Here is a 17,318-nt window from a genome sequence, read left to right as displayed (position 1 = left end):
CAGAGCAAGATGCTGTCTCAAAAAAAACAAAAACAAACAAAGAAAAAACACAAAAAACAAAACCATGAACAAAACCTCCTTTAACGGTTTAATTTTAGATCGTTCATTTTTCTGCTTGAACTCTTATTTTCATTTTGTGTATCTTATAGGAATTCAACCTAACATACTTTTATGCTTGAAAGTCTTTTATAGATTACATTTGCCAATGTTTCTACAATAAAATTCCATACACAGGAACACATACATTAAAATCCTTTCTTATTTTGTGCGACCATACATCTCTGAGGATTAAAATTTTGTCCAAATTAAGCTACATTACAATTTTAATGAATATACAATTGAGAAAAAAGTATTTTAAAATTTTATAAATAATAAACATAAACATAAATTGAGAAATGCATTTCTTAATGAGATGAATGGAGTATTTTTCTTCAACTAATTGGTTTGTTCATTCATGGTTGAATATTACATACTGCTAGAATGAAACAGGATTCAGCTAGTCTTCCTATTAATTGTTTTTGTAGATGTTAGCACTCAGAAACCTTGTTCATGTAAATAAGTAAATAAAAATGGAATATGTTTTATTATAGCACTGTCATGATTCTTTGAACTTTTTATGAATTGCATGCTAAAATTGCATAATGATATATCATCAAAACCATTTTTAATATTCTGTCAGCTAATAGTTTGATTAAGCCTTCCTTTAATTTTCTTGAAAGCAAGGAATTAGAAATCATTGGCTTCATAGGATTTGCAACCCAATCGTTAGAGTAATTCACGTTCTCAGTTTCTGGGAATTGTATCAAAAAGGCTATGCACCAAAACCTATCAAATGACTATTAATTACCTTCTCATTCCTTTACACAGGGGCACTTGTTTAAACTGCTATTCACAAAACGTGTTGGGAGATATCCAAACATAAATTTCAATTTACCTTTATCAGCATAATATTTTTGATGGAATGCTTTTGTCTGAGTGCCAGCTTTAAACATATTTTCATCCAAACATTGGAAAATGTCCACCAAATATCCTAGATGGTAAAGCTAGTTCTTATTGCCAAACCAATGAGTCAAGATTATTTATTTTGAAATATGACACACATTCAGAAAATTGCACTAAGCAAACTTTTACAAGTCAACAAATAATCAAAAGCCAACATCCATGTAACTATCACTCTTTTTTATTATTATTATTTTATTAATATTATACTTTAAGTTTTAGGGTACATGTGCACAACGTGCAGGTTTGTTACATATGTATACATATGCCATGTTGGTGTGCTGCACCCATTAACTCGTCATTTAGCATTAGGTATATCTCCTAATGCTATCCCTCCCGCCTCCTCCGACCCCACAACAGTCCCCAGAGTGTGATGTTCCTCTTCCTGTGTCCATGTGTTCTCATTGCATGTAACTATCACTCTTTTCTGGCATCCTAGAAAGCGCAGCTCCTCTCCTTTCCCACTCACACTTCCCTCCCTTCCTGCTAGAGGATACCACTATCCTGACTTTATGGTAAGCGTGCTTTTCTTCTTTATAATTTTACCATGCATGTACTTATCCCTAAACAATACAGTTAGTTTTTGCTTAATTTTGAATTTTTTATAAATGGAAATCTTACTGTATGTTTCCTTTTGTGTTGCAACATTGTGTTTGAGAAATTCATACATATACTTACATGTGTTCATTTTCATTTTGCTACAGTTGTCCATTGTATAAAATTAGTACAATAAATTTACCCATTCTGCTGTTAATGGGCATTTAGGTTATTTCCAGTTTGGTACTACAATGAATCATGTTGCTATGAATATGCATTTCTGTTCTACCTAGAAGTAGAATTGCTGAATTCTAGAACATGTCTGTCTTCAATTACAGTATATAGTGCCAATGTTTTTCAAAGTGGTTGTACCCAAATTGCACTCCTACTCATAGGAGACTGCTTGTTGCTTCACGTCCTCACCCACACTTAGGTTCATCAGCTCAAAGACCACACATTTGTACCTTCTTTGTAACTCCTGCATATACCTTTGCATTTTATGTAGCTTCTGGAGGGCACATGGAGGTAGCTCACCATGGTTTTAATTTGCATTTCTCTGATAATGAATGAGACTTAGTTCTTCCTGTGAGTTGCCTGTTAAGACTTTGCCATTTATCTGTTGCAATCTTTATTTCTTGCTGTTTTGTAGGAGTTCTTTTTTATATTTTGGATATGATCCCATTAATACTTACATGTATTACAATGTTTTCTCCCACTCTGTGATTTGTCTTTTTACTTTTAAATGGTTGTTTTTGATGAACAAGAACTTCTTTTTTTAATGGGGTCTGAGTAACAAGCTTTTCCTCATTGGTAGTTCTTCTTGTGTCCTGATGAGGAAATTTTTCCCTACACTGGGGCTATGAAGGTAGTTTCTCATATTATCTTCTAGAATCTCAATGAACACAATTTTAAGCAATTTTTACTTGCTGTGTTTTTCAATTCTAGAATTCCCATTTTTTTCCCCCAAATCTGGTGTGTCTTTTTGTATAGTTTCTGGATTTTGCTGACATTGTTTTTTTTTTCCTTTTATCTGCATATACACAGGAAGCACAGAATTTTTAAAACTTTTAAATTATGAACAATTTGTGTATGGATCTGTGTATTAAATATGCACAGGCGGAAAAAATAGTATAATGAATTTCTGTGTATTCACTCTGCTTCAATAACGATCAATATTCTTTAATTCCTTTACAAAATGTATTCCTTACTCCCTCCCCCATTGCTGCTGCTTCTGCTCCCCTCCTTCTCCTCCTTCATCATCTTCCTCTTCTTCCTTTTCTTCTTCCTCTTTCACTTCCGCTTCCTTCTTTACTTTAAAGCAATCTAAAGCTTTAAATTTGAATTGTAGTTTAAAGCAAATTCAAAGAGCCAGGCATGCTGGTGTGTGCTTGTAGTTCTAGCTACTTGGGAGGCTGAGATGGGAAGATCACTTGAGTCCCGGAGTTTGAGTCCACCCCGGGCAACATAGACCCCCATCTAAAAATATATATAATTAAAAAAAGCAAACCCAAGATGTTAGCGTATTTCTTTAACCAATATGAACTTTAAAAAATATATAACTGGTTGGGTACAGTGGCTCATGCCTGTAATCCCAGAACTTTGGGAGGCTGAGGTGGGTGGATTGTTTGAGGTCAGGAGTTCAAGACCAGCCTGGCCAACATGGTAAAACCCCATCTCTACTAAAAATACAAAAATGAGCTTGTTTGGTGGCATGTGCCTGTAATCCCAGCTACTTGGGAGGCTGAGACAGGAGAATCACTTGAACTCAAGAGGTGGAGGTTGCGGTGAGCCGAGATTGCCCTACTGCACTCCAGCCTGGGTGACAGAGCAAGATTCCATCTCAAAAAACAAAAAAACAAACAAACAAAAAAAACACCCCCCCCCCCCACACAAAACGTATATACATATATACATTTATATATATATATATATATATAACCACAAAATCACACTAAGTGATATTAATACTGATTCCTTAATGTCACCTACTACCTTGTTCACCTTCAATTTTCAGTATTCCCAGATTAGCTTTACAACTCTTTAACAATTTAATTTTTTTTCAACCCGGGCTCCAGACAGGGTCTACACATTGTATTTGGTCATGGTGGCACAATTCTCCTTCCACAGTATAGTTGTTTTAAAGTCTATATATGATAATGCCAGTATTTGGAGCCCCTGTGGGTCTGTTTCTAGTGTTTATTGTTTCTGCTGCTGCTTTTGTTGTTGTTGTTGTTGTTGTTGTTGTTGTTGTTGAGACAGAGTCTTGCTCTGTCACCCAGGCTGAAGTGCAGTGGCACAATCTCAGCTTACTGCTCCTTCCGTCTCCTGGGTGCAAGCTATTCTCCTGCCTCAGCCTCCTGAGTAGCTGGGATTACAGGTGCCCACCACCACATCTGGCTAATTTTTGTATTTTTAGTAGACATGGGCTTTCACCATGTTGCCCAGGCTGGTCTCGAACTCCTGACCTCAGGTGATCTGTCCGCCTTGGCCTCCCAAGTTGCTGGGATTACAGGCTAAGCCACTGGGCTTGGCCTGTTTCTGCTTCTTTTCTTTCATATTGTCTTGTCTTATGTGGCTGGTTATCTTTTATTGTGTGCTTGAATTGTATTTGAAAAGTTGTTTTTTAAAAGATAATGTTTAATCTAGGAGGATGTTTTCTTTTTCTAGAGAGGATTTGTTTTTGCTTCTGCCAGATGTTTGGGGGCACCAGCTATCCTGCATCACCTTATTCCAGATGTAAAGACTGAAATTAGTTAAAGCTGGTTTAGACTGGGTACGGTAGCTCACGCCTGTAATCCCAGCACTTTGGGAGGCCAAGACGGCGGGATCATTTGAGGCCAGGAGTTCAAGACCAGCCTGGCCCACATGGTGAAACCCTCTTTCTACTAATAATACAAAAATTAGCTGGGTGTGATGGCATGCACCTGTAGTCCCAGCTTCTCGGGAGGCTGAGGCACGAGAGTCACTCGAATCTGACTGTCAGAGGTTGCAGTGAGCCACGATCGTGCCACTGCCCTTGTGCCTGGGTGATAGCGTGAGACTGTCTCAAAGAAAAAGTTTTATGTTGCTTCAGGGACTATTTTGTTTCTCTTTTACTCCTAGGTACCACTGCTATGGTGGGCCTTGGTATCCAACTTGTGTCCCTTTTGTCTTGTGAAGTAATAGAAGCACTCTTCAGGTCGGGCACGGTAGCTCACGCCTGTAATCCCAGCACTTTGGGAGGCTGAGGCGGACGGATCACGAGGTCAGGAGTTCAAGACCAGTCTGGCCAACATGGTGAAACCCCGTCTCTACTAAAAATATAAAAAAAATTAGCCAGTCATGGTGGCGTGCGCCTGTAATCCCAGCTACTTGGGAGGCTGAGGCAGGAGAATTGCTTGAACCCAGGAGGCGGAGGTTGCAGTGAGCCGAGATTGCGCCACTGTACTCCAGCCTGGGTGACAGAGTGAGACTCTGTCTCAAAAAAAAAAAAAAAACCAAACAAACAAACAACAAAGAAGCACTCTTCAGCCTCTTCGCCTCTCATTCTTATAGTTGGCTTTTCCAGGCAGAATTATCAAACGTCCCCAGGAGAAAAGCAGACCGACCTCTATGGCACCAGTTGCATCTCTGAATTTCTGTCTTGTCCTAGATCTTGGCCAGCTTTTTTGTTTACCTGTTTTTTGTTTCTTACTGTTTTAGTAGTTCTCCTATGGCTTAAAGGGGATTTTAAAAATACTACGTCCCCATTTTCTATTTCAATTAAGCCATCCTTAAGAGATTGGTTAAATATTCTCAATTTGCCATTAGCATCAGATTTAATTTATATTCTAAAATTGAAGTCTAATTTATATAAATAAAATACAAAAATCCTAAGTGTATAACTCAATAAATTTCTCCATATTTATATATACATGTAATCAGTTATTATTATCTCAAGTAGATATATTAATATAAAATCCCATGCAAACCTCACTTCTGAATTTTAATTCTAAGTAAAAAAGATAAGGTGCCATGAATGTGTCACCAAATGAAATAAGATGCTGCTTCATTCAATATTTTTCACTGACAGGTTTTTTTCCCCCTTTACTCATTGAGCTTTCCTTCAGAAGCAATGTATTCTTTGACAATACTTAGAGTTTGGAAGAGGTGAGATATCATTAAATAAAAATTGTCATCACTCCTAAACATCACTCTACAATATGTCTGAATTCAAAACATCCCAGTATAGTCCAAAATACCCCATTTCTAACAGCATGTTTCACCCTTAACTGAAATGTGTTTAAGGGAAAAATAATGAGCTATTGGGTAGCAATGAGAGCATTGATTTATGGTACCTTGATTAAGGGAGGCTTTGTGACACCAAGATTTTGAATGGTTCCTTTGTTTGACATCCATGAGCAATGCACCATACTATGATTCAAGACAGGCGAGAGATACACTTTTCTTTTGTAAACTAGGAGAAGGAAAATTATTAAAGGAGCCATAGGAAAGGAGACATTGGGAAAGAGTAAATGTGGAAGTTTAGTTCTGGAAATGGATTCTCTTAGATCCATTTTACCTGAATTATTTTGGAAAGTGCTCACAGACCCAAGGACACACATACCCTAATAAAACTATTGTTTGAAGCCACTGGAGTCTACTTCATACACCATCAGCTGAACATGATTCCTAAATGATAAACTATAATCTTTATGTTATAGGATTGTTGTGTAGGTTTAATGAGATAATGTATGTAAGTTCCTTAGCAACCATTACTTGGCATGTAATAAAAATGCAATGATAAGCTACTTATTGATCATCACTTTGATCATCACCAACTGAATGAATACATTCATTCATTCAAATATTTATTGCATAAAAGCAATTCTCAAGGTGTTTTATGGTATACTCTGATGGCCTTTACCACTGAACAAGTGTTCAAGAGGGGACTTCTTAGTTTGGAACAAAGAGCAGAAGGTGGTGAAACCTGGATTCTTGCCTCAGCTCAAACTTTGGGAGCTGTGACATCTTGGGTTTTGGTTTCATCATCATCTGCCCAAATTTTTCACTGGGTTGATCAAGAACTTAATAAGAAAGTGAACATGAAATCTTTCTGAAATACTGCAGAATGTGCAAGGAACCCCCCACCTCCCACTTTTTTTTTTTCAAAGTCCAGTTTCCAGGCTTAAAAGGAACCCTTAAGATGCCATCTCAATCCCTATGGGCCAAAGTTCCTCTTCATACACTGGTCTCAAGCCCTTTTTGCCTCTAGACTCTTCATGTGAGAACACTCTTCCATAAATAACAGCTTTCATTAGACACTATAATTCCCACACAGGGAAGATAGACACAGCAAAACCAGGGAGAGGTAGGTGGGGAAGGAGTTGGGACAGCTAGTTTGTAAAAGCCTCTTGTGGAATCAACAGCCTTCTCCCTGGAGAGACGGTTCTTCCTCCATCTCCCATGAAACTACTGCTTGGCCCAGCATTCCCCAGAGTGTGGACCAAGGGGCACAAATGCCATGAAAGGTGGATCTAGATGGAAGGCAGGAAGGGCAGTGAATAAGAGTGTATCATGAGGCAAGATTGCTGTTCCCCTTTCAATTCTCCTCACCACTGCTGATGACTTCTCTAACTTTGGTTCATCTCGAATTTTGACAAGGAGAAAACTTGTCTTTGGGCAGGTAGTCTTTAGTTAATTTTTTAATTAATAGTTTGGTTTTCATTGTGTTTTTTTTTTCAGTTATCTCCTACTTATGGCAAGGGATATGCCGTAAGTAGTAGCTAACACTTACCAAGTACTAAGCCGTGTTGTGAATCATTTCTTTCTTTTTTAGTAGAGATGTTGCTGAGGCTGGCCTCGAACTCCTGGGATCAAGTGATCCTCCCACCTCAGCCTCCCAAGTAGCTGGGATTACAAGTATGAGCCACTATGCCCAGCTATTTTTTTTATTTAAATTTTTTTAGAGACAGAGCCTTGCTGTGTTACCCAGGTTGGTCTCAAACTCCTGGTCTCAAGCGATCCTCCTGCCTTGGCCTCCCAAAGTGTTGGGATTACAGGCATGAGCCACTGCACCCAGCCTGAAGCTAATTCTTAAGTAAAGAATAAAAAGTAAAGGTACTATGTGGATGCATAAAAATTGAGACAGAGGTCCTCAAAAGATCCAACTTTGGGAAATATCAGTTTAGCCCAGGCTCCACTGTCCTGCCCCAAGGGCTGACAGTCTGGCAGAAAGTCAGTGCAGAGCTGGCTGGACTGAAGGAAGAAAGGAGAAGCCCCTTTGGTTCTCCATTTAAAGCCATGGAAGAATGGCCCACCTGGATATGGACTGACTTATATTCTTTTATCCCTCTTGTATTTTTCACCATGCAATTGTATTACCAATTTGAACAATGTGATGTGATATAATCTGATACAATATAAACCAGAGCTTTTTCCAGTAAACCTAGCATGGCAGGTAAGGGTCATTAGGATTAATGGATTAACACATGTCAAGCATTTAGGATAGGGCCTAGTGCCATGTAAGTGCACTTATAAGGGTATTGGGGGGTGAAGGTGGTTAACAGAAGCTGAGATGGGCTGAGGGTTGTGGAGGAGGAGCTCTCTCACAGTCCTGGAAGAGGCAAGTCCTCAATGAGCTCCATCCATGGTAGCTCAACAATGGGCCTGTCTGTTGTGGTTCAGGACTCACTTCATTCTGGGCAGTTGCATGGATCTGCCAGCGTGGGCTGGGGATGTGAAACATTCTGCCTGGGTGCCTGGACAGCCGCCAATGATCCGAGCCTCTATGCATTGCCAGCTGCAGGACCTCACCTCCACAGGAGTGGAACATTGATAAGTTCCTGAATGAACACTCATCAAATCCTTGCCCTGTGTTGAGGGCTGCATGCAGCTGGCTGATGAATTGGGAAAGTATGTGTTTCCAGACACCACCACCATCAGGCAGAAGTGAGCTGTTAAAGCCAGAGGAGATGGATCCTTCTATATTTCTTTAAAAAATTATTTTTAAATTCATTTTTAAAATTTTACTTTTTTGGAGGGGGTACATATGGTAATTTAATATATTAATATAGTTTTTTTTTTTTTTTGAGACGGAGTCTTGCTCTGTTGCCCAGGCTGGAGTGCAGTGGCGCGATCTCGGCTCACTGCAAGCTCTGCCTGCCAGGTTCACGCCATTCTCCTGCCTCAGCCTCCCGAATAGCTGGGACAACAGGTGCCTGCCACCACGCCCGGCTAATTTTTTGTATTTTTAGTAGAGACGGGGTTTCACTGTATTAGCCAGGATGGTGTCTATCTCCTGACCTCGTGATCCGCCTGCCTCAGCCTCCCAAAGTGCTGGGATTACAGGCGTGAGCCACCACGCCCAGCCCATTCATATAATTTTTAAAGACCAAATCTGTGTATATGGGATATCCATTGCCTTAAATATTTGTCTTTTCTTTATGCTAGAAACATTCAAATTATTCACTTCTAGCTATTTTGAAGTGCACAATAAATTATTGTAAAATGTAGTCACCCTCCTGATCTATTGAACCAGCTCTTATTTCTTCTATACTTATTAGACAGACCAATAGACGGAGAGAACAGGATTAGGCAGGAACCCAGGCAGCTCAGTGAGCTCGAGTGCTTGGAGCTTGGACGTGCTTACATGCTTCTGATAGGCCCTTACCTTCTGCAGAGCTCCTCCATTTGTAGAATATCCACAGGCATGTTGGTAGTTCAAGGACAGAGCTTGTATAGAATGAACATGGCCAAATCACTGATTAGCCATCCAACCCCAGACAAAACATTTTTCCCTTTGGGCCTGATATGGTTTGGCTGTGTCCCTACCCAAATCTCATCTTGAATTGTAGTCCCCATAATCCCCACATGTCCTGGGAAGGACCATTCAATTATCTCCCATGTGTGTGGCAGGTAATTGAATCATAGGGGCATTTTCCCCCATGCTATTCCCATGATAGTGAGTAAGTTCTCACGAGATCTGATGGTTTTATAAGGGGCCTCCCCCTTAACTCTGCTCTCATTCTTCTCCCTCCTGCTGCCATGTGAAGAAGGATGTGTTTGCTTCTCCTTCTGCCATGATTTTAAGTTTCCTGAGACTTCTCCAGCCCTGCAGAACTGTGAATCTTTTCAATTTACCCAGTTTCAGGCAGTTCTTTATAGTAGCGTGAGAATGGACTAATACACAGCCTCTGCATCCTCATCTGTAAAATGCAAGTTGTAATTAGTACCTAACTTAAATGGTTGTTGTGTGGGTCAAATTAGATAAGGCAGGACAGGTGCCTGGCACACTGAGGGTGATGCTGCTCTGGGCAGGCAGGACCAGGGGACTGGGCTGCAGGAGGTGAAGCTCCTACCCTCTGACACATGGCTGCTAAAAGGACAGAGCCCTTTTTTCAAGCCCAGTGGCCTCTACCTTAGGAAATATGTCCCCACTATGGTGTGATGTCCAGCCTCTGAAGTGCCATAAAATGAAACAGTGAAGTTCAAGACTCAGAAGTCAGCCTGTGATTTCTATAAGTTCAGATAGACAAGAATTTGGTTTATTTGATTTACATCAATGTTATGGACAGAAATGTGACCGAAGTCTTCGGAGTCTTCAGTTAGAGGTGAGCAGGGGCTTAGTAAACTGAATAAAGAGAAGCTTTATTTGCATCTCCATGGCTAAAATGAATCATACGGGTTTTAAATGAGATGTTCCACTTGTTATGCAGTGCCTCAGAAAATGCATCTAAACTTCCACATATATGTTAGATGTACCCAGGCTCAGAAAAGGGTCTTTTGTGGTGCGAGACTTACACAGACAGTTCAGCATGAGGCTCTGGAAACTGCTTAGGTTCAAATTCTGGCTACACCTCTATACCAGGAGCTGGGTAGCCTTCTGGCACACTTCAGCTTCCTCATGTGCAAGATGGTGCTGAGAGTGGTGTCTATTTCACAGGGGATCTATCAATGGAAATGGGGCTCAACAGAATCTAAGCTAGATAAGGCATTTAGCACAGGGCCTGGCAAACAAGATGAGCTCCATGATCATAGCTATTATCATAATTAAGACACAAAGTCTCAGTTAAACTTACAAAGCTCTATCCTTGACAGCCAAAGTATGAACACATTGTTCTTCCCAGCTGTGGACTTGAATGCTGGCTGAGACTGGAGCCTTGGTTTCTGAGCTCACAGATGTCTCCTACCTTCATGAAGCCAGCCTCTGCATTTTGTGTGGCTCTGAATTCTCCCCGCTCCTGCCCTCCCCAGCCTGCTGCCCTCCCTAGCCTGCTGCCATCCCGCCTCAGGCTCAGCACAGTGGGTTCTACCTAATGGTCTGCCCGCCAGCATTTAATATGCCATGCATCAATTGGGGGAGGTTGTTCTAGAAGGGATGGCAGATCGGCAATGCCTGAGGATGGGACCAAAGAAAAAGAGGCCAGTGGGACCCTGTTGGACAGATGCCTGGCTGTGACTTCAGCAATGACCTTCCTGATCAAAGGTGGTGCTTTCTTTCCAAGCAACATTTCAGACATCTAATAATTGATGGGATGATGCTAACTCACAACGAGTTTTAATACAGCTGCTCCTGGGTAGTTTGTTTACCCCTCTCTGACTCAATTCTTTATCTCAAAAAGTAGGAAGAAAAAATATCTGCCCTTCTAGGCATTTATAAGGATCAACTTAGCTTGTAAGTATAATGTTCTGCAAATGTAAATGCTCTCTCTCTCTCTCTCTCTCACACACACACACACACACACACACACACACACACAGTTTTGGTTTTTCCATCTCTCAACCTAATAGGCTAGTAGAAGATAGGAGGCCAGAAGTCCTTTTTCCCAACATTAATTTGATCCTGTGCATCTTCCTTCTGTCTTCGGCTGCAGCCTCTAAATAGAAGAGGCCATTGTGGGGCTTGCTGGGCAAAGGGAGATGGAACATGAAAGATGATGATGATCCTAGTGATTTATCTCCTAGTTGGCTCAGGAAGCAGACCTTTTGCAGGTGAGAGATTTGTGAGCAAAAGGCAATCCCTCTTTGAGAGCAAACAATTTGGAGCTGAGGTGCTTGCTCTGGCTGAGGGGAGAGCGTGTTGGCAACCCGCCCTCCCTTAGTGTGAAGTCTCAGCCACCCCAGCTCAGTTCAGTTCATCAGGACTCTGCCTCCTGTGGGCTTCTGAACTTGCCCCTCGCCTCAGCTCCTGCTCCAACTTTGACATGTACATAGCTCAATAAATAAGTTGATGATGATGATGATGATGATGATGATGATGATAGGGGGTTTGGTATGGATTATTTTATTTAATTCTCTTGCCATCCCAGCAAGGCAAATACTATTATTATTCCTATTTTGCAAGTTGACAGAGACACAGAAAGGTTAAAATGCACCATTTTATAAAGTCATCTGCTTGGGAACTCGAAATCAAGCCCTGGAAGTCCAACTCCAAAGCCTAAACGTTTTACCCTTAGTCGTTACTTGTTGCCCACCACTTGGAAGAAAGGAGGGAGGGAGGGAGGTGGGAAGGGAGGAAGGGAGGATCTCTTCCAGGCTGTGAGGATGAAGTGAGAGACTGTGGGCGTGTGAAAGAGCTTTCTAAAATATAAAGTGTAAAAACGGACTAGAGTATCATTGTTAGACCAAAGCTGTCCTCTTTCAGGAAGGGAAGTGTGCCCTCTCTGAGCCGAGAGTTCGGGATTTCTAGCATCTGCCGAGGCTCTCAGGCTTTTCTACCCTTCAGTGAGCTCTCTTTACTTCAGTTCTAAGGGGTCTCTCCCTGGGAGGTGAGGGGAACAAGCTCACTCCTGAGAAGTGGGAGGTTCAGAGACTTCCAGCTTTGGCCATCTTGCTGCTGTGTGTGACTTTGGTTGAGTCCCTTAACCACTGTGTGCCCAAGAATGCCCCTTTGTATTTATGAGAAATCACCATGGCCCTGCCCAAGCCATAGGGTGAGAGTCTGTGTGAAATAGCACTGAATTCAGTTGCCAGATTTCCAGTGCTCCATGGCCACAGGTGGCTAGTGGCTAGCCTTTGGACAAAACAGACGTAGAACATTTTCATTGCTGCAGAACATTCTATTAGACTGCACTGCTCTATAATTTAATATTTGTTTACAGTTTTTTTTCTTTTGAGATAAAACTTACAATGCAACACACAAAATCAAGGTACAGAATCTTGCCATCACCCTGGAAAGTTCTTTCATGTCCCATTCTAATTCAGTCTCTACCCCCATTTCCAGAGGAAACTGCTGTTTTGATCATTCTTTTAGCCATAAATTAGCTTTCTGTGTATGTGAAAGACTTTGATTGGCATTTCTAAGGGTCCCCTGAAAGCTTGCACCATTTTTCACCAGAGAGTCTTGGGACTAACAATTTCCAGCCTCTCTCCTCAGTTCACTGGGTGTTCCTACATCTAAAAGGCAACCTAGGCTTCAGCCAGTCTTTGGGGCTTGAAGATGGCCTGCCTTTGGGGAGCCACTTTCCTCTACACTATTCCACTTTCCTCTGTTTAGATCTGACCCATTGGGAAAGGGCTGGACATATTTCTCTCTGTCTTAGTGTGTTCCTGCTGCTATAACAAAATAACAAAATGTCTGAGACTGGGTAATTTATAAAGACCAGGGCCCCAGCAGATTAGGTGTCTGGCAAGGGCTGCCCCCTGCTTCCCCCTTGCTGTGTCTGCACAAGGCAAAAGGGCAAAAGGCAAAGGGGTGAACAACCTCGAACCTCTTCTATAAGGTAATTAATCCCATTCATGAAGGAGAAGCCCTCAGGACCTAGTCACCTCTCCAAAGCCCTATGTTCGAATACTAATTCCAACACCTTGGTGATTAGGTTTCAACATGGGAATTTTAGAGAGACACAGATATTCAGGCCATAGTCCCCACTGTGTCCCTTTCTAGGAGTGTATGACTGGCATTCTCAATGCAGGCTTTCAGCCACTGTTTGCAGGGTAGCCAGGTGGATGGCAGGGGGCAGGAGAGAGAGGCTGCCACCTTCTAAGGACTGTCCTCCGAGCTGGAGTTGGCCCTGAGGATACAGTCTAAGGCCATATCCACCCAGGCTGCTTGGTGACTGGTGGTCCTGATCCTGGAGTGGGGATTGCATGATTTGAATCAAATGTAAGCTGCAAAGTGGGAGCTCTGAGCTTTTGGCTTAAAATTCTGGAAAGGGGTAAAGAATCACACTTTACCTTTATGCTTCAGTGGAGATGAAAAAAGTTTCTAGAAGGAAAAGCCCAACCCACCTGTTTGCAGAGATGCTACACCAAAGCTTGGAAAATCCTAAGTGCTCCCAGCTGCCCCCAGGCCAGCCCCTCCCAGTCCTACCATCCCTGGGGGTGGCCAGAGAAGGCACCTGTGTGCTGAGAGCCAACCAGGAGGAAAGGAACTGCGATTCTAGGGACTTTTGAGCTGGTGGGGAAGGACCTGAACTGACTTTTCCTGGGTGAAGAAAGGGGCCCCACTGGAGTGAGGTGGGAGGAAGGAGCAGAGAGGGATAAGTGTCGCAGTGCAGTGCTGGAGTCTTCCTGAGCCATCAAAGGGTGGGGGATGACTCCAGTGCCCAGCAGGAGGGGACTTGTCTGCTCAGCTTGGGAACTATTACTTCCCAATGCCTGCTGGTTGTGATCACTTCAGTGTGTACTGATAGGCAGCTAAACCCAGATGAAAGCAAAGGGCCTTGTGACCTGGATCCCAGGAAGCGGGAGAGTGGGCGGCTGAGGACACTGCAGCTGGGAGGATGGGACTCAGGAAGGATGCAACTGGGAGCTGACCCCCAGAGTTGCAGGAGGGAGCAGCGTTCCTGAAGCTGATGGGGAGGAAGCAGGCTCAGTATGGGAGGGGACCAGGGACACTTCTGGCAGCAGGGAGAACACAGGGATCCATGAAAATGCACCTTGGCAAGGCAAGAAAGTGATAGGCAGGGAATCTCCTCATGGAACACATGTGGAAAGGGAAACCTTTTTGGTTCACTGGGTAAAGGCCCCTTGAGAGCGTGCGTGCGTGTGTGTGTGTGTGTGTGTGTGTGTGTGTGTTTCAAAAGAGGAATGGATTGGCGATTCACACCATTAGTATAGGTTTCGACTAGATTAGTGTTTCTCACTCCTCTTTCAGATTTTTGACCTATCTGTGACCACGTTTTGGACACAAATAGCTATATGATTAAGGAAAACTTGAAATCAATATCATAAGGGAAAGAAAGAATAATCATGAATCATAAATAGAGGATAACCCTTAACAATCACTACACCCACCACAGCAAACTCAACCAGTGTTCATCCTAGCTTGGAACTACTGCCGGTGTCGTGGTCCATGTCAAAATTGAGATAGCAAATGTTCAATCCTAAAGAGAGACCACCTCCAAATAAGGCTTTTTCTTTAAGACAATCAGAAGGCTTGGGGATGAACTGAGAGGTAAACAGCCTCGCACTGTGTTTCCCGCTAATGGCCCTTGTGGGCCCCACTACAAATCCCCACAGGTGGCTTAGCTCTTGATTGTTTCTTTCCCTGCCATCTCCTGTGGCCTGGGGGGAAGACTCTCCCTTTCCTCACCACAAATGCTGTTCCCCAATTTGTAAAACAAGTTTTCTGGTTGGAGAACAATTGCTAGGCTCCTTGGTGCTGTAGCATTCCTTCCATTCAATCCATTGGCCCCTACAGGATTCTTCTATTCCTGGAGGATTTGTCAGGCGTTGCCTTTCACCAGCCATCATCCAGGGAAGGGAAGGGGTTCATGCTGGCATCAGCTCCTTCCACGGGAAGCACCTGTCGGCCTGGCAGGAGGAGTACACTCCACTATTGAGCTTCTGCCTCCAAACTGTCCTCTGGGCCTTGCTCTTCTCCCCATCACCCTGCTTCCGGGTCTTGCCCCATTGAGAGCTTTATGCAGGCTAAATGTTGGTTTGAAAAATAGGATTCTGATGAAAGATTATTGTCTGCCTCCTTACTTGGGCTTTTGAGATGGAGCCTGTTATTATTTGATTTCGTTCAGGGACACCTTCAAAAGAAGGTGGGGGGGGGTGGGGGAAGCCAATTTATCACTGAGAGTGATACAGTCAGAGAGGCAGGTTTCATTTGAGGCTTTGTTTAAAACTTGGCAGAATGCTTTGAAACGTTTTCACCAGCAGGCGGTCAGCAGCATGATGCCCACTCATACTAAGCACAGCACCTATGTCAGAATACAGCAACAGCTGGCTTGAAACAAGTTCATGATGGGAAAATTAGGCCGGAGGAGTGGAAGGTAAATTAGTAGGTAATTATGCTCTTAACACAGGAAGAGTTTCTATAATGAATCCTTTAACCAGGCAATCCCTGGTGAGTTTTAAATAGAATTGTATTTTTTTTTCCAGGCTATGGTAAGAACTTAATAAGATGACCATGTTTAAACCAGATGCATTTTGGGGATGGCTTTCCTTCTGGAAACCACTATCTCCTTTCTGTCTCTGTGAATTGGCCTATTCTGGGCATCTCATAGAAATGGAATCACATGTGGCCTTTTGTGTCTGGCTTCTTTCACTTAGCATAATATTTTCAAGGTCAATCCATGTATCAGAACTTCATTCCTTTTTAGGGATGAATGATTATCTTCTGTCGTATGGATATACCAAGTTTTAATTATCCATTCCTCAGTTGATTGACATTTGGATTGTTTCCACTTTTTGGCTATTATGAATAACACTGCTATGAACATTTGTGTATAGATTTCTGTGTGGAAGTACATGTTCTCATTTCTCTTGGGTATATACCTAGGAGTGGTATATACCTGGGTCCTACGGTAACTTCATGTTTAACTTTTTGAGAAACTGTCAGATTGGTTTCCATGCAGCTGTAGCATTGTACATTCCCACAAACAATGTCTGAGGGTTCCAGCTTCTCTACATCCTTGCGAACACTCATCGTCTGTCTTTTTGTTTCAGTCATCCTAGAGACTGTGAAGTGGTATCTCCTTGTAGTTTTGATTTTTATTTACTTAATGCACACCTGGAATTTAAACTCAAGCCTCAATTCCCAAGTCCCTGCTTTACCCACAATGCCAAAAAACAAGAGGAGCAATGATGTGGGGAAAGGGAATCTTCTACCATTCCCTCCTACTGTGTCTAGGGAGAGAGGGATTTGTTCAGATTCACTGTATGAAAACTCTATTGGACATAATGACAGTATGGGACAGTGTGTTATAGATGATACAAAAAGCTCAGGCCACAGCTTTTTGGGAAGTCTGTTTTTTAAATAGACTTTAAAAGATGAGGGCAGAGAGGATGACATGGAAATGTGGAACCAGTTCATTTAAGACACAATAGTAAAAAACAAAACAAAATCCATCATAGGGCTGGGCGTGGTGGCTCACGCCTGTAATCCCAGCACTTTGGGAGGCCGAGGCGGGCAGATCACGAGGTCAGGAGATCAAGACCATCCTGGCTAACATGGTGAAACCCCGTCTCTACTAAAAATACAAAATAATTAGCTGGGCATAGTAGCGGGCGCCTGTAGTCCCAGCTACTTGGGAGGGTGAGGCAGGAGAATGGCGTGAACCCAGGAGGCGGAGCTTGCAGTGAGCCAAGATCACGCCACTGCACTCCAGCCTGGGCGAGAGCGAGACTCTGCCTCAAAAAAAAAAAAACAAAAAACCATCATAGTACCAGATAGATGATAGACATTCATATCGCCAACAGAGCCAACAAGACAGTGATTTTCAGGGCACGTGCCTACCATTCCCTCCCTCCAGCCTTTTGGGGGAAGGCTCCCTGATGTAGGGCCACTATCCCTGCTTGAGTTGTGTCTAGTTCCTCAGGTTATGGGGGCAAAATCAGCACTGAGTACCACCACTCTCATGGCTGATAAT

The sequence above is a fragment of the Homo sapiens genome, chromosome 10 (genome assembly GCF_000001405.40).
Source record: "Homo sapiens chromosome 10, GRCh38.p14 Primary Assembly".
Classification (NCBI taxonomy): domain Eukaryota; kingdom Metazoa; phylum Chordata; class Mammalia; order Primates; family Hominidae; genus Homo; species Homo sapiens.
Note: the sequence above shows the minus strand (reverse complement) of the source record.